Source organism: Homo sapiens, chromosome X (genome assembly GCF_000001405.40).
Source record: "Homo sapiens chromosome X, GRCh38.p14 Primary Assembly".
Taxonomy (NCBI): Eukaryota; Metazoa; Chordata; class Mammalia; order Primates; family Hominidae; genus Homo; species Homo sapiens.
The window spans coordinates 12,566,435-12,584,763 of record NC_000023.11 but is presented as its reverse complement, the minus strand read 5'-3'; the positions used below and the strand labels follow the sequence as shown (position 1 = coordinate 12,584,763).

General features: G+C 39.6%; 1 protein-coding gene across 14 annotated transcripts in view, besides 1 other annotated feature; it reads right to left on the bottom strand.

Moving 5' to 3' along the window:
• FRMPD4 (FERM and PDZ domain containing 4) overlaps positions 1 to 18,329 on the bottom strand; it is a 902,085-nt gene that overhangs the window by 139,760 nt on the left and 743,996 nt on the right. The window lies entirely within an intron of this gene.
• Positions 3,760 to 4,959: an enhancer, noted in NCBI's record as "BRD4-independent group 4 enhancer chrX:12597924-12599123 (GRCh37/hg19 assembly coordinates)". NCBI's record gives its function as "activates an origin of replication core promoter dependent on BRD2, P300/CBP, MED14 and CDK7 cofactors, and independent of BRD4, by STARR-seq in HCT116 cells {active_cell/tissue: HCT116}" and the evidence as "EXISTENCE:reporter gene assay evidence [ECO:0000049][PMID:35650434]".

Here is an 18,329-nt window from a genome sequence, read left to right as displayed (position 1 = left end):
GAAATGCAACCCCTCACCTTTGATTCAGAATTATTTGAACCATGCACACAGCATTTAGTCTCTTTAGTCAAGTAATAAAACAGTCCTCTTTTTGTTTTCAGATATTGACGAAGCAGAAGTCCATTTTTCCCATTATTGGTGATGCTAACTTGGGTTAAGGTGGCTTCTTCCAAGTCTCTATTGTAAAGGAACGTTCTTTTTTTTTCCTCCTTTGTAATTCATAATATGTGGGCTAGGGCTTCCAAACCTTGTGACTATCTAGTTCCTCAACAGTCTTCATCTGATAGTTTTAGCAGTGATGATCGTTTTCTAAATTAACTACACTGGTGGTTGCAATAGAACCCATAGTTGTTTTGTGTGTGTGAAGAGGTCCGCCTTAAGAAGCCGTCAATAATGGACAGCTGAGGGGATATTAGATGTTACCAGGACTGGAAATGCCAGCTTCATCACCATCTGTAAAGCCATAAAACAGTGAAATCACACTCTCAACTAGTGAATCCAGTGCATCGCTCCAAACACTATGTTTAAAAAACGAGTAAACCAAATTTATTTAGAGACGAGCCAGAAGGCTGGACCGGTTTTGGCCCGAGTGCCCAGGCAGGGCACAGGTGAGCTTTAAAATCCGGGTAGGTTCAAGGGGCTTTGAGGAACGCTAATCCCTTCATGTAAGATAATCAATTTCCGAATTTCGGTTTCCTCTTTGTTCAATGGCAGGAGTTCCTCCAGAGTTCCCAGGACGTTGCCCAGGTTGCCAGCAAAGTGGAGCCGCGGGTCCTGCTCCTTAGGGCCGAGGGGATACGGACCCTCCTTTGGAACGTGTGAGGCAGGAACTCGATTCGGCAGCTACTGGGTGGTCCTCGCACCCTCAAGCCTGGACGCCCGCTTTCTGAGGTTCAGGCCCCACCGGTTGTTCCCTAGAAGAGTCAACAGCGCCCCGCCCCCAGCCATTCCCAAGCCCAGGAGATTCTGGTGCGAAAGACACAGGTCAATGCAGGTGGAAACCCTAGTTAACCTGCAGACAGCTGGGCCCGGGTGAGGCTCTCTTGAGGTCGCGGGAAGCGGCAGAGATGGCAACCAGCTGGACCGCAGACAGGGCGGCGGGGCGCGCAGACTCAGGGTCCTGGCCAGGGCCGGGGGCGGGGCCGCCAGGTGCGAGGCTTTACCAGCACTGAGGCTCAGCTGGTGCGGTTAGGCCTGGCTTGCGCTGGAGCGTGGTTTTGGTTATGAGGATCATAATATGGGAACGCTCCCGGCACGTAGAAATATTCTGCCGTGGGTGAAAGTTCCCGAAGACCTGAAAGATCCAGAGGTGTTCCAGGTCCAGACGCGGCTGCTGGAAGCCATGTTCGGTGAGTGTGCCCAGTACTGGCGGAGCTTCCCTGGACCGGCCGTCTCAGCCGGCCTGGGGCTCTCATCCCTTTCCCCCAAAAGACAAAATATTCTTATCCTTGAGAAGTTTACAATTTGATGAGGGTTGATAAATGTATTCATGATTTTAATACACTTTAGAATATTGTAAGTCATGCAATTGCAGAATTCTTGCCCTGGAAGGGAGCTGAGTAATCAGAATGCAAACTCTTGACAGATGAGCATATGTTCTCATAGTGACCAATAGCAGATTAGTAATAGAGGTGGTGGCAGATGCCAGGGTCAAAGACATAATGAAGATTCAGAGAAATGAGGGTGCCACAGGGTTTTGAAATCCAAGAAAAGCTTGATTGAGGAGGGAGCATAGGAAATCAATCTTAAAGGATCAGTTGGATGGTGGGAGAGGGAAGGCAGGCGAGTTGCAAGCAAAGGCATAGAAGGAAGAGCAATGAGTGACTTTTGCAACCGGGAAGTAGTAAGAATCCAGTTAAAAAGGCAGCAGATGCTGTCAGTGTTTTGTGCACGCCCGTATTCCCAGAATCCCTTTACTGTTTCACTACATGCTGCCTTCTGGGGCTTTCACTCCCAACAGCCAGCACCTGTGTCTCTTGGTTGGCTGACAGCACTGGGCTGCTTTGCCTGTGTGCACAGAGAGCTGGAAAAAATTTACAATGAAAAGAAAGGAGCCTGTAGGAGGATAAGGGGGTGGAATGACTCCAGCTTCTTGTCCTTAGAGATGGAGACACCTATGAAGTGTGACCTTCACTGTCCATAGTGCTTTCCTGCAGGGCTGAGCAGAAGTCCTCTTCATGGGATTTTCTGGATGTTGCACCCTTGCTCAGTCTCCTTCCCTTCCCTGTCCTGCCTCCCTCCTCCCACAGGGGAGTTTGCCAGCGAAATTTCCTAATAAATCACTTTGCCAGAAATCCTTGTCTCAGGTATGCAACCTGAGACAAGGGCGATATCATGGAGCTTTGGAAGATAGGATGTGAAGCACATTCTGAATAGGGGAAGCCATGAAAGTTTTTAAGCCTTGGAAAATGAATTTGCTGGTGACATGGATGGTCTGAAGAAAACTGGAAGACTATTTTCATCAGGCAGTTATTATTACTTACATTTTCTGTCTCAGAAAGGAACCAATACAAAGAGAAAGCAACCATCTTCAGGGATCTACTTTAATATCTGCGTGAAGGGCATATAGTGAAAGCATGGCAATTAATTCATGATTATAGCATATTGTATAATTAGATGTAAGAAGATAATTCATTAATTCTTGCATGCATGCATTTAATATTTTTGATAACCTATTATGTGCCGGGCATTGTTCTAAGCACTGCAGAGACAGCAGACAAGCATACACACATCCCTGCACTCATGGGAACTTACATTCTAGTGAGACATAGTAAAATATGGAGATCAAATATACACCAAGTCAGAGGCTAATGAGAAGTATGGAGGAAAATAACATAGGAAATGAATAAAGAAGTGTCAGATGGCAGGGTGGGAGGTGGAGGCAGGAAAGGCCTCATGAGAAAATGGCATTTGAGCAAGAATCTGAAGGAAGAGAGGGAGTGAATCATGGATACCTGAGAGAAGGGCATTCTTGGCAGAGGGAACTGCAAATGCAAAGGCCTCAGGCTGCAGGGTGCCTGGCATGTTCAAGGAATCACAAGCAGGCAGTGGGCGGGAGGAGGACGAGCCGAGGGAGAGTAGCAGGACATGAGGACAGAGAGACAGGCTACACGAGGCCTGGTAAGACATTTATTCAAACACTCAAGTACCTACTGGATACCACTCTGGTAGAATTTATTTGCTTAAAATTAATAAACAGATTATAAATGATTCTTGGCCATTAGTTTAAGCAAAATTTCTTCTTGACTGTTTTTCAAGCACTAGTATATATTGTTATATGAATCTTAATCATGTTATACTTACTTTTCAGATATCTTTCAGTTCTAAAATTTCAATTTGAAAAATAATTTCTAGTTCTCTGCTGAGATTGCCTATCTTTTCATTTATTACACATATATTTTAGGTCATTGAGGATGGTTATGCTCATCTGCACCTGGTCTCTATTGATTATCTTCTCTAAGAATGGTTCATGTAATTTTCCTGTTTCTTTATATGCCAAGTGATTTTGGATTATATCCTGGACATTGTGATGTTATATTGTGGAGACTGTTTCAGAGAAACATAACAGAATTTCAATCAACTAATTTGGTTGGACTCAAACTGCATACTGTCTTTTAGGCATTAGCTAAAATTTCAGTTTGGTTTTCTTATCTTTAGCTAGACTGCTTCTAGCTTGCTTGCACACGTGTGGTTCAGGAGTTAGCCAGAGATTTGAGCAGAGTTTATACAGTAGTCCACGTTTATTTGCAGTTTTGCTTTCCACAGTTTCAGTTATCTGTGGTCAACTGCAGTCCAAAAATATTAAATGTAAAATTCCAGAAATGAACTGTGCATAGGTTTTAACCTGTACACCATTCTTAGTAGCCTAATGAAATCTCATGCCATCCTGCTCTATCCCTCCCAAGAAGTGAATCATCCCTTTCTCCAGTGTATTCACACTATATATACTACACACCCATTAGTCATTGACATTGTCTGCTCCTGACATCCTAGGGTCAACAGTGTCATGGCTCAATAATCCAGGAGCATCAGAGGCAGGTGATCCTCCTTTTGATGTAGCATAAGGAGATCAATAGTAGCCTAAAGCTATGCCACAACGTCTATATCACTCACCTCAATTCATCTCACCACGTAGGCATTTTATCATCTCACATCATCACGAGAAGGGGTGAGTCATTTTGAGAGCAAGAAAGAGACCACATTCACATAATTTTATTATAGTATGTTGTTATAAATGGTCTATTCATTATTAGTTATTGTTGTTAATCTTCCTGTGCCTAATTTATAAATTAAACTTTATCATGGGTATAGGAAAAACATTGTATATATAGGGTTTCAGTACTATCTGTGGTTTCAGGCATCAACTGGGGGATGTTGGTATGTTGCAGATAAGGGGAGACTACTGTACAGAGAATGAAGGGTACATCTTCTTTGGCTTTCTCCTTTATGGGATTTCTCTCTTTATTTTCCAGCAGGACTGGTTGCCCCAAACTCTGGCCCCTTGTTCTTCAGGCCAGAAAAACTATAGGTTTTCTATTAGAGTTTTAGCCACTGGACATGGGGCCAACTGTGACATGCCTTAGACTAAAAGCCACAAAAACTGGTAAACTTACCTCTTGTCATTCCTTTCTTCCAAGTGTCAACTCCCCTCTTGAATCTAACTGCTTTTGTTCATTTTTCAATGCCTTGTGGTATTTAAATATTTTTTATTTTGTCCAGAGTTTATAGTTGTTTTATGCAAGATCAGTCTGGTAGGAACTTCTTTGGCCATACTGGAAGTGGAAATTCATTTTTATTTTTAAACAAATCTGTAATCTGAACTTTTAACCTATTCCAATAGCTTTCCTTCTAATGGAGTAAAGTTTTATTTTCCAAAGACATTTTATCCCTTAGTTTTAATGTCTTCTTTCCTTCAATCTCATCATTTTCTGGAGCTGTGACAAGAAAGTCTTTTCGGTTTTCTTTTGTTTATTGTCAATACCTTTGGACTGTAAAAAAGCATTCATGAAGCAAACTGGATTCAACTTTCTGTCCAGGAAGAATTCAGAAAAGGTACTAACTCAATAATCAGCTTCTGATGAATCAAGAAATTGATTTTTGTCTAAAAAAAATCTATGGGTTTAAAAAAATAAAATATGAAAAGCATTACTACTTTACAATGGAGCTAGAAAGCTAAACATCTGCTAGCAAGCTGAACAGAGCATGCCCAGTCCGGTCCCTGACTCACGATCCCTGCACGTGGGCTCCACTGGGGGACCACAAGGATTTAGAGACAAGGTCAGAAACCGATTGTCCCGGAAGCTGAAATGACTCAAAACAATACATAATGGATCTACTGAAGTAACTCTCCTTAGTAGATGGCTTTGAAATGTGTCCCTGAAGATAGGCTAGAGTCTGCAGTCTAATCCAATTAAGAAAACTAAGATGTTCTCAAGGGCTATAAGCTACTCAGTTGCATTGTAAGAAGTCTGAGACAATAGTTGTATTATAAAATTGGAAGAATGGTCTGAAGAGTGTCTAGAAAAAGTAGAATGGAAAAAACCGATTTTGAGAATTCATTTAGCACTATCAAACAGCAACATTTTATATATTACAGAGCTACATAGATTTTTTCACTAAAGTCAGGTTTTAGTGTTAGGGTGGGAGATAGTTATTCCAGGCATTTCTATACCTTGGATGAAATATTCTCCATGACTATCCAATTTATTTTCTTTTGACTCAGTGCTCTTTAAGCAGTTTCTTTTTTTCACCCCCATTTACTACTTCAACTTTCCTGATACCTGGATAGAAGACAGGAATATTCATTCCTTTGGAAAGTTACATTTTCCATTGTGAATGCATAAACAACATCTAATTTGGCATCCTAAACTCTTTTGTGCAGTAAGGTGACACACACATGCATACATAGACACAGATACACATCTACATATATATATCATGCATTCTCAATAGGGACAGCATTGCTCCAACAAGGATGAAAATTGTTTTTTGGGGGGCAAAAATTTTATTCTTTCTATATGTAAAGCACAGATACACATACAGTATATAAACTTATATGCAGCATATTTGCGATATTAAAATGTTAGCGAGTGCAATTAATAGAAAATACTTAAAAAGGCTTCTTTTGCTGGTGGTATAGATAATAAAAAAGGGTTCGAAAACAGTAACATAAACACACAAACACACTATACAGTATGTATATATATATCTCAGAATACAAGTTAGGTGTAGACATTTATAATTATACAATAGACACGGATTTTCTATCTATATCTACATTTACATCCATTTGGGGTTTCGTGTGAGTCTGTCAGTTCAATATCATGATCACCTCAAAAAACTGTGCCCCAACTTAGATCTGATAATGACCCACTGTAGACAGTGGATAAAAAAAACATAAAACTAGTCACCAAGGCACATCCTAGAAAGATCTCACTGCAATCTGATCTTACTGGCAACACCAGCGGGTGAGCAGTCCTACTCTCTGCTGCCACTGCAGCTAGATTGGGACCTCCCAGGCATAATCCTCTGACCCAGTGCTGTGGACTGAATTGTGACCCCTAAAATTCCTGTGTTGAAGCCCTAACCCCAAATATGATATTTGGAGATGGGGCCTTTGGGCCATAATAAGGTTTAGATGAGGTCAAGAGGGGAAGGCCCTCATGATGAGATTAGTGCCCTTATAAGAAGAGACACCAGAGAGCTTGCTGTCTCTGTCTACCATGTGAAGACAGAGCAAGAAGGCAGCTATCTGCAAGCCCTAAAGCGGGCCTTCACCTAGAACTGACCATGCTGGCACACTAATCATGGACTTCTAGCCTCCAGAACTGTGATAAAATAAATGTCTATCTTTTAAGCCACCCAATCGTTGGTATTTTGTTATGGCAGCCCAAGTTGACTAAGACCCCAATAATACCCCAATAGGTAGGCATGTGAGTGTTGCATGCAGCCTCCAAAGTGGACAGATGTAGAACTTTCTTTTCAATGGCCCTGAAACTCTTGCATCCACTCCAGTTTGCCAGCCATCTGAGGTCTAGCTTATGTTCAGGCACATTTCTTTTGGTTCCCCAGCTTTCAAGCCCTGCCTTCTTGGGCACCTTCCTCCATTCCTTATCAGCTATGGCCTCTTGTCCTTAGCCCTTGGTCCCATCCAAGCTACTCTCTTAGGTTGCACTGGGTTTAAATGACTAATAACCCACTCTTCCTCACCCTTCCTATCACTTTAGATTTAGCCAAGCTTGCTGGCTTCAGGCTCCCCACACACTCTCATCTCCTTGCCCACACTGCCCTCTTCTTGAGGCATAACTCTTCCACCATCTTCATCTCAAAAAATCCTACAGACCACCCACACCAATTCAAATGAAGCCTCTACCCAAAAGCCTTCCTAAGCCTCACTCTAGAAATAGCATCTCCCCACTCCATAATCCCCCCTCACTTTCTTCCTACTTCTCCCATTGCATGTATCATATTTTGATCAATTACCATTGCCTGCATAAGGATCTTCTCTCATCTACTCTGGACCGTAGCCTTCTCCAGGAGGGAAGGTTCTTTTGGTGATTTATTTTAGAAATCCAGAGCACCTAACGCAATGGTTGGAATTAATAAACAGCTGTGGATTAAAACTAAAGTGTCATCTCTCCCCAGTAACTAATAAACATTTACTGAGCCCCCACTATATATGAGGCTTTTGCTACTGTGGGATGATGAAAAACACATAATTCTTTTTCTCAAGGGCCTCAGAATTCAGATCCATGAATTTGCAATGTAACAGTAATCAGAGCCTTAAATTGACAACTATCATGGAATTCAGGAATTCCTGGTCCCTCAAAGACCTCTGACCAGTCCAGGTGACAGACACAGCTCATTAAACTGTCCTCAGAGTGAATGCCCACTCCTACACCTTTCCCTACGGCAGAGAGAAAATGGCTAAAAAATGGTGAATACTCTACCCTCAATGATCTCTGTTTCCTTTTTTGTTTATAAACAATGTGCTAAAGATAATTTCTAAGCCTTTAATGATACTCATAGCAGTGGATTACCATGGGGTGTGGAAAGAGCCCCATCCGAATACCCCAGGATCCCATCAGGAAGGTGCCCTCTGAGCAATAACATCCACTTTATCTTGCCATTACTATTAGCCTGCCTTCTGCAACCCTGAGAAAAGATTTGTTTTCCTTGCTTGAATTCTCACAGAAGAGTGCCTGAGGGTACTGTCTTGAAAGAAAAGACTGGCAGGTTTCTTGTTTCACAAATGGAGCCAGCAGGCCTTAAGCAGATGAGGATGTGGTATGGTATAAATATAAATTTCTCTGGACAGATGACTGCCTCCTGTGTCCTCACAGACCCAGACATATCTCAGGGATCTGCATTAATGTGGGCTCTGTTCAGAATTTTTTAAATGTTTCCTCTCCAACTTCAGCATGATCAATTACAAGTCTGGATTAAACCTCTTTTTCTTATTTTAGTTTCATTAAAAATGTTTTGGGTCCAACTTGAAGTCAAAGGCTTTATTATTATTAGAGAAGAGCATCTAACGATAGCCCATTTTAACTCTGAACTTGGCTGTAGGAAGGTGAGTGTTTTTTCTTTTATATACAAAGAGCTTTGGCGATCAGAAGTCAAGGGGTTTGGGTTCTACTGACATCCATCGGATGAGATTTTGGAACACATCATGAAGCCCTTACCCTGGGGTCAGTCCTCCCTGGAACTGTATACAAAGTTGGATATGTAGACATGGTTATGCATTGTGTTAGTTTCCCATTGCCGCCATGACAAATTACCATGAGCTTAGTGGCTTAAAATAACACAGATTTATCCGAAGTCTGAAATGGGTCTTTCTAGGCTAAAATCAGGGTGTTGGCAGGGCTGGTTCCTTTCTGAAGGCCCTAGGGGGGAGTCTGTTTCCTTGTGTTTTCCAGCTTCTAGAGGCTGCTCACATTCCTTGGCTCATGGGCCCCTTTCATCTTCAAAGCCAGCAATGGCCCATCAAGTCTTTTTCACCTCATATCGCTCTGACTCTTCTGCTTCCCTCTTGCACATTTAAGGACCCTTGTGATTACACTGAATCTGTGTAGATGATCCAAGATGATCTCCCTGTTTTAAGGTCAGCTGATAAGAAACCTCAATTCCATCTGCAATCTGAACTGTCCTTTGTCATGTAATGTAATATATTCACAGATTTGGGGCATGAGGGTATAGACATCTTTGGAGGGCTATCATTCTGCCTACAATATGCATCTTCCTGGGGGAAAGGGCTACTAGCTGTCAACAGGTTCTCAAAGGGGAATTCAAGAACCACTGAATTCAATGCTAAAAGGTTCCTTGAAGCTCTAACTTGGCTTGATTCTAAGAATGTTAGCATCATCCACCTGGGCCTCAATTTTATTAGGACCGAGCAACAGCAAAGGTCATAGGGGAAATAAGATACGGTTCTGGAAAAAAAAAAAAAAGACCTTTACTTATAAATGTGAATTTACTACTTATTTTTTTTATGATCTACTTAACAGATGAGGAAAACAAGAGGATAGTTGACCTTATAGATTCATGAAAAGACTGACAATAAATTATGATGTTCAGGATAAAGTACACTTTTTATTTCTTTTATTAATAGCATTCAAATAATCATGTACATCAAATAGGTTCTCTATGAATGGCATCACTTAAGGGACCTCCCTGATCTGTCATTTCCAGCAGATGGCCAAGGGACTGGCAGTCTCTCTCCTGAAATTAGGGCTTCTTTTAACGAGTTCATGGAAGGGGAAGACTGATACAAAAGCTGTCAGGAAGGGAGACTAGTCTTCATAGATGTTCTTATTTAATGAGCAACCTCAGGAGATTAGGAGAGTGTCAGAGGAAAAGCCTAATTTTCAATGTGGCATTTTATTGGGTTGAAGATGTTTATAAATCCCAGCCCTGAAATTTACATCTACCTTTCAATGTGTATTTAAAATACCCCGGGCTGGGCACAGTGCTTATGCCTATGATCCCATTCAGATCCCAGCACTTTGGGAGGCCGAGGTGGGATGATCACTTGAGCTTAGAAATTCGAGACCAGCCTGGGCAGCATGGCGAAACTCTGTCTCTACAAAAACTACAAAAATTATTCAGGCGTGGTGGCATGTGCCTGTGGTCCCAGCTGCTGGGGAGGCTGAAGTGGGAGGATTGCTTGAGTCTGGGAGGTGGAGGTTGCAGTGCGCCGAGATCACGCCACTGCACTCCAGCCTGGGCAACAAAGTGAGACTTTGTTTCAAAAAATAGAAAATAAAAAAATAAAAGGCTCCACCATGCTAAAGATTCCATGGAGTTTAGTCTGATCCTTCCCTTTCCACACATGTCTAACAGAATATTCTCATTCTCTAGCATAGCACTTATAAATGGGTTATATCCATTGATATTTACCATGTTGGGAATTAAAACTGAGAAAAAATTTTAAATACTTACTAATTCATTAAAATAACAATAATAGGCCAGGTGTGGTGGCTCACGCCTGTAATCCCAGCACTTTAGAAGGCTGAGGTGGGTGAATCACTTGAGGTCAGGAGTTCAAGACCAGCCTGGCCAACATGGTGAAACCCATCTCTACTAACAATACAAAAATTAGCTGGGTATGGCGGCACATGCCTGTAATCCCAGCTACTCAGGAGGCTGAGGCAGGAGAATCACTTGAAGCTGGGAGGCAGAAGTTGCAGTGAGCTGAGACCATGCCACTGCACTCCAGCCTGGGTGACAGCGTGAGACTGTCTCAAAAAAATAAATAAAAATAAATAAACTCATTATATTTTAACATAAGCAACATATTTATAAAATATATGTTCCAAAACAAAATTTAGAAGAGTGGCACTGCTTTACATTAAAAAAAAAATCTTTAATGTCTGGCTCAATAGAAGATAGCTGGATTTTCATATCTGCTTCTGCATTCAGTCTCTTGTGAGATCACACATCCAAAAAACGCCATTGTGTACTTGTGACAGAATGTGAGTGAAAAGGACAACTAACATCTTTGTATTGTGAAAATAGTTTTGACATTCTGGATCTCCTGAATGGATCTTCAGTATTCCCAGAGGTCCCTAGATCACACTTTGAGAATCACTGCTCTAGTATGTCTCTCAACCAGGGAGTTAAGACTATATGGACCCCCGTTAAGTGACAAACTTATAAACGCAAGAGAATATGTACTGGGACTGGAGTCAGGGAAAAAGTGTCTTGAAAAGTGAAATTTTCCTCCATGGCTCCATATTACCACTGTAAATGAATTTAGTCTTTAAGAAGCAATCACAGTTTTGGGGACTTGGTCTCTGAGGAAGTCTCTGGCATGCTGGTCTACCCACTTCACTCTAAGATTCCTTCTACATAGGTCTGGTCTACTTTTTTATCCTTCATTTTGTTCTGAGAGTTTTCAAACTAGAAGAGTTTTTGAGCAGCTATTAACCAGTGACCTAAGAATAAAAGTCAAATTTCCTTTTTAAGTCCTTTTTAATAAGACAGGCAGAGCTCTGTTGTGCTTTAAAGGTACAAAGCCAAAGCACTTGATCAGTGTTCTCTTTGAAAATTTCTTGGACTTGCCCCTCAATTACGTTAAGAACTATTGGGGCTCAGGATACATCAACTCAAAAAATGACTATAGGAGATCAGAATATGTCACCCTTAAATATACTTCTTTAGCATATTTAGAGCTGGCTATTCTGAAAAACTGCAGACATAAGAGTCGCTATGATGAAACTGTCCTTTGGTAAAAATTTTGTAAAAAATTACATCTATAAAGGAAATCTACATTAGTCAAAGTATCTGTGTCAGAAAGAGGGCTGCTTAGAGACAAGTTTTATACCTGAGAGACTTTTTATTTGTACAGCAAGACAAGCTTCATTCACCACACATTTCTTCCTCTCACCTGCCCATGACTTGATGCCACCTCCCCAGAGAAGCCCCAAGCCACTATTCCTTTCTGTAGCTCAGGATGCTATATAAGCTTCAATTACCTGGCTCTTCTTAGACTCTCATATTTTGTGGGACTCCTGTGCGTATGTACATAATTACCTATTTTTTTCTCCTATTAATCTGTCTTATGTCAGTTTAGTTCGTAGTATAGTCAAAGAATGTAGAAGGGTGGAGGGAAGCCATTTTTCCCTCCCTTACTGCATGTAATGGGTAGAAGCCAGAAATGCTGCCTAGCATCCTACAGTGCATAAGATAGACACCCCCATAACAAAAAGCATCTGGCTTCAAATGTCAATAGAGCCATGGCTGAGAAACTCTGCTATTAAAAAATGATTTTATTTTTAATTTTAATCTTACAAGCTTTAGCATGTCTTTTTCTAAAGGCAGCATTTATTTTGCTTTCTTAAAAAGGAACTTAATCATTTCCCCTTTAATTATGCATTTTCAGGAATTTTTAGAACCCTAACATGATTACCTTAATATGTTTATACAGTAGAAGCTCTGGACTTAAAAATGGGTGAGTGAATTATAAGCACAGTTCAATGTAAGTCACAAGAAAGCAGTGTCTTACAGTTATCTGGGAAGCAATGGGTTAATCTAAGCTTTGAAAAGTTAAAAGTAAACCAAATAGCGTTTGTTATTGCAGGAATCATCAGAGGTCTTAAATGTCTAGAACATACTGCAAACCTCCCAAAGCGGTATATAATGCAGGGCATTTTAAAAACAGGGGCTCCTTTCTTAGGGAAACCTTTGGGTAGGAGTATTTTGAATAATAACACACTTGGAGAAACTGTCTTTTTAAGGGAAGGCAAATTGCTTCAGAAATATGCTAAGTGAAAACCCAATTAATCTTATGTTTTCCTTTTCTGTTTTCTTTAATTTAGAAAAAGTTCTCTTTGTTTAAAAGAAATAGAAATAAAATTACTATTATTTTATACTGTTAGCTGCTGACCACATAAAATGACCTTTTTTTGAAGCAAATGAAAGCTTCAGTGACCCCATGTTTAACAGAATGTAGCTTTAGAGCTGGGAAATTTTCAATCAAGTGAACAATAGTAATTAGGATACTCCTTTTCAAAGTCTTCCAAATCTAAGAATATTTATCATATCTTTTAACTATAGACACAATCATTCAGATGGGGATGAGTCAAGAATAGATGCTTTGCTGGAAGGGGAAGAAAGAGGAGGCCACAGGCCTCTAATTGAGCACTCCAGAAAAGCCAGAACATGGCCTGATTATTGCCAATTACAGAGTAGAATTAAAATTTAACATCTACAATTATGGGACAGAATTACTGTTCTGAGCTGTAAGCTCCAATTACTAAGACACAGTTAATCAAGATAGAAAGCCTGAAATGGCTCCTAGGAGAAAGGGGAAACAGGCAGGAAGAGGGAGGGGAAACTGCACCCTTTGTTTAGCTCCCATTAAGCCATTGTCGTGTTGCAGGTCATGTAAATTCACAGTTAACAAAAAAGTACATCCCATACTTCATTTAGTGTGACAAATGTTTAAAAAAATTTTTTTAACTGTTGCCATAGCAACACCTAGCTGCAAATACCATAATATGTTTTATATGTGAGTTAATAAGAATTTTATTGTTGTGATCATTTGTGTAGCTTTCACTTAAGTATTTCACAGGCATGCCTGGCTGAAGAGTAAATTATTCATTGTGGGAGAAAAGAGCTCAGTAGTTTAATAAATTCCATTCAGGCTTAAAGATTGGGTAGAGAATCTTACCTCAAAGTTTAGGTTTCGATGCAGATCACTTAGAGACATTTAAAACAAAAATAACATTTATTTTTATTTATGGTAATCCCCTTTTATGCACTGTTTCGCTTTCTGAGGTTTCAGTTACCTGAGATTAACCAAGTTCTGAAAATATTAAGTGGGAAATTCCAGAAAATAGACAATTCCTAAATTTTTAATTACTTGCCATTCTGAGTAGCGTGATGATATCTCACAATGTTTCTGCTCTACCGTGCTCTGGAGAACTATCCTTTTGTCCAGCAGATCCACCCTGTATACACTCCCTGCCCCTAAGTCGCTTAGTGGCCTTCTCAGTTATTAAATTGAAAAAACAGAATCCATAGGGTTCAGTAGTATCCTCGGTTCCAGGCATCCACTAGGGGTCTTGCAACATAACCCTTGCTATGAATAAAGGGGGACTACTGTACTGAGATAACAGTACTTCTCTGATACTGTGGTGTTAGAAAATAAATACATGTGGCCAGGCATGGTGGCTTATGCCTTTAGTCCTAGCACTTTGGGAGGCTGAGGTGTGTAGATCACAAGGTCAGGAGTTTGAGACCAGCCTGGGCAACATGGTGAAACCCCATCTCTACTAAAAATACCAAAATTAGCCATGTGTGGTGGTGGGTGCCTGTAGTCCCAGCTGCTCAGGAGGCTGAGGCAGGAGAATCACTTCAGCCCAGGAGGCAGAGGTTGCAGTGAGCTGAGATCGTGCCATTGCCTGGGCAACAGAGCAAGATTCCATCTCAGAAAAATAAAATAAAATAAAATAAAATAAAATAAATATATGTAAAGTTCAGAGAGTGGAGTTCTGTCTTTTCAGGGAGATTAGGAACTGGATGCTGCCCTGAGGCACTGGCAATGCAGGGGAAAGGGCAAAGGAATTACAGGAGATGCCTTGGGCTGCAATTCTAGCCTTGCTTCAGGCAGGTTGCTTCACCTCCCAGCAACTGTTGGGTAATTTACATGTACTCCAATACAATATCAACATAAAAGTGCTTGGCCAACTACAAAGTTATTCAATTAATGAAGAATATAAGGCAAACACTCAAACAGAGGGTAATGAAAGCCATTTAAATTTACCTGGTGCATAGTGTGTTCCACATTTGAGCTCTTTTAAGACACCTTCTGATTTGAACCCAAGGCAGCTGGAAGGAGGAACAAAACCACAGAACTACATAGGAGGTGCTAGATTTAGGAACCTGGCAGTCCTGTCACACTAATGCTATACCAAGTACTGCTGTAGATACACTAAAATGCTAGTTCCCGAACTGAAGACATTTACCTCCAGATTGAACCACTTAAAGCAATTTCTAAAATTTCTCAGGTTTAAGCACTTTTACTAGCGCTCAGCTGTTTCCACTGATACCTCTTTTGTTTTTAAATTAAATTTCTGTGTAACTAGACTGAAAGAAAGCATACTTGAATTAAATTATGTGTTAGTCTATAAGCACAAACTCTTAGTAAAAGTTAACAGAAAACAGAAACAGAGTGTGGTTTTTTAAAACTATTTTTTCTAAGTTTCCAAGTTAATTTTTTACTGACTTTGAATAGTGGGTAAAAAATATTGATCTCCTATTGATATAGGTGAATAAAATAATTCCCATTTTACTGATTGATAACCTGAGCCATAGAGAAGAAACTATCTTAATGCCTAAGGAGAGAAAAAATCTGAACTCTGGGTTTCCTGACTTTCAGCTTAAAAGCATTTTAATATTAATTACAACTTTGTATTAGCATAATTTTCTATACTGAAATTTTATCAAAATTTTTATTTGAAGTTTTCTGAAATTTCACTCTCTAATAGCTTAGAAATTTGAAAATTAGATGTTGTCTTCGTCTGCTTTATGTTGCTGTAACAGAATACCACAGACTGGGTAACTTATAATGAACAGAAATTTATTTGACTCATGGTTCTAGAGGCTGAGAAGTCCAAGAGCGTGGTGTCAGCATCTGAAAGGGGCCATCATGCTGAGTCATCCATGATAAAAGGCCCAAGAGTGAGCTAGGAAGAGAAGGAAGAACTCACTTTTATAGCAACCTACTCTAGTAATAAAAAACCTACTCCCAAATGACAACGTTAATCTACTCATGAGGGCACAGTTCTCATGGCCTAATCACCTCTTAACAGTCCTACCTCTTAATACGATCACAATGGCAGTTAAATTTCCACATGTTTTGGAAGGAACATTCAAACCATAGCTGATGTGATTTTATAGAACATGTAACTCTGAAATGCGTATCTTCCTTGTAGATGAACCATATTCAATAGTCTGAGTCACAGACTAGAAATCAAGTAATTCCATACTTTTCACTGCTAATTTATAATCCTAGAACAGCTTTCTATAATTATGGAAGTAAAAGATGCTTTAGGAGAAAATTTCAAATACTGTAGAAGACAATAAAATGGAAAATAAGGGTCTTGTCCCAGTACCCCAAACCCCAGGCCCATTGCCCACAAGATATCAATGCTTACCATTTCTGGTGGATCCTTAAATAAATATTTTAATGACATAAAAAGTTTATCATTTAAAAATCATATACAATGGAATTTTATGAAGCACTGAGAAAGAATGAGGAAGAGCTCTTTGTGTGTTGATATGGAAAGCTCTTCGAGATTAATAGAACAAAGCAAAAATAAAGCAAGCCTTTTGTTAGTCATATGTAATGAAAATATTTTATCAATTGGCCTTTTAAATTTGTTATTTGCACCTTAATCTGTTTAAATTATGTAACAATTATTAATCACAATAATTATTGTCAACTTAAGATTTATAAAGTATTATGAGCCTTAGATAAATATACTGGAAAATTATTTGAACTATAGAACTCCAAGTTAAAAGACTTTGAAATGCAAGGGATCACCAATAGCACACAGTACCTTTCTGTATTTGTCATTCTACTTGCTATACATTAATTTGGCTATTTTAAACTTTTCCTACTGTTAGCGTTTTCTTGCCAAACAAAATGAGATGTGTGTTTGCCCATTCAAGGCTGATTTTTTTCAAAGCACTGAGCCCTGGAAGCCTGTAGAGGGCAGCAAAGAAACCTTTCCATTTTGTGATTGTCATTAGATAATTTTTAGACAGTAAACCTTTCTAGAAATGTTGATATTATTAAAAAATACACATAATTAGGCTATCCTTGAAACAGTCAATGGAATGCAGATGTTACCAAAACCTGAGACTATCCACGTAACATTCTTGGTTAAACATCTCTGTTGGCTCAAAATGCATATAGGAAAAAAGTTCAGGGTTTTCTGGTAGCATACAGGGCTCTTCAGAACCTGCCTCAAACTGTCCTCTCTACCATCATTCTGCATAGCACCTCACTAGGATCCAGGGTCATCAATCCTAGTGCAGGAAACATCTAAGGCCTGTCAGAAGCCTGGTCATCCCTGCTGTTCCCTCTTTCCCCAAAGTCCTTGGCTTATCTACAGAAAGTGAACCCCTGCTCACCATGTAGGCATCACCCCATCTACCCAACTATTTCAATTCCTGCTCATTTCTCTGGTTCAGCATTGGCCACATTGATTGTGATTATCTTCTTATCTATCTGCCTCTTCAGTATAGGGCTCATTGGTTATTCATTTTTTAATCCTAATCACCTACCACAAAGTAGCACCTAAGTGTTTAAGAAATAGATAAATGCATGTATGCATGAATGAATGCTTGCAGAGAGCTGAGATTTTTAGATCTTCCTGGAAAATGAATGCCATGTCACAGAAACATCACAAAGGGACACAGATATGTTACTTTAAATAAAACTCTTATCTTAAATCCAAGTGGCTCTGGGACAACCAGCATTGGAGGGGTTCTTAGAAAATAAGTATTGTGCAAATCTGTTGCTCCCAAAGCCTTAGGTACAGAATGGTAGGAATACAGCAGGTATTTATTACAATAATTTAATTTAGACAATGAAAATCACCAGTGGTTCAGAATATGGCTGTGTATGGCAGAAACTGAGGGAGGAGAATTTAGTGTGGAAAAAAAGTGTTTTTTTTCCCCACACTAGGGCAAAGAGGAAAATGTATAATGACTTACCTATCTTTGTGGGAAAATTATATTGAAATGGAATGAAGGAAAACAACATTAATTTCTCTTTTCTATCACTGAACTTTGAGTTATATCCAATAGAGTATCCTTATAGTACAAATGAGAAAAGAAAGGTAGTTTTCTCTTCGCTGAGAGCTGAGTTGTGAGGGCCAGTTTGGTGTGTGATCTTGGGGAAATAATATTTTTTGCTACTTTCTAAATGACCCCCAAAAACTCCTCAAAAAATGTTCCCCAAAGAGTCATGGTTTTAAAACCAAAAAGCAGTGGGCAGTTATTAACGTAATCTTTTATGCAAAAAATTCACCCTTGCACTCCTCAGAGAAAAGCAAAATAAATAGTTTCGATAAATAATTTCTTAGCTCTTTTAATTTTCAAGTTTTAGAAATTTAAGACAGTTCATTTCAGTGATCTTCTTTTTGTTTTCTTTAAATTACATGGGGACAATGTTTCTTCTGCCTTCATTTCATTTCTGTTGGCCTGATGAAAATAATCACACAATAGAAAATCCTATTTATATTGTGATATTGTGATGCTATGAAGTGAATCTTTTTTTTGTAAGAGAAATGTAAGCATATTAACATTGAGTACTC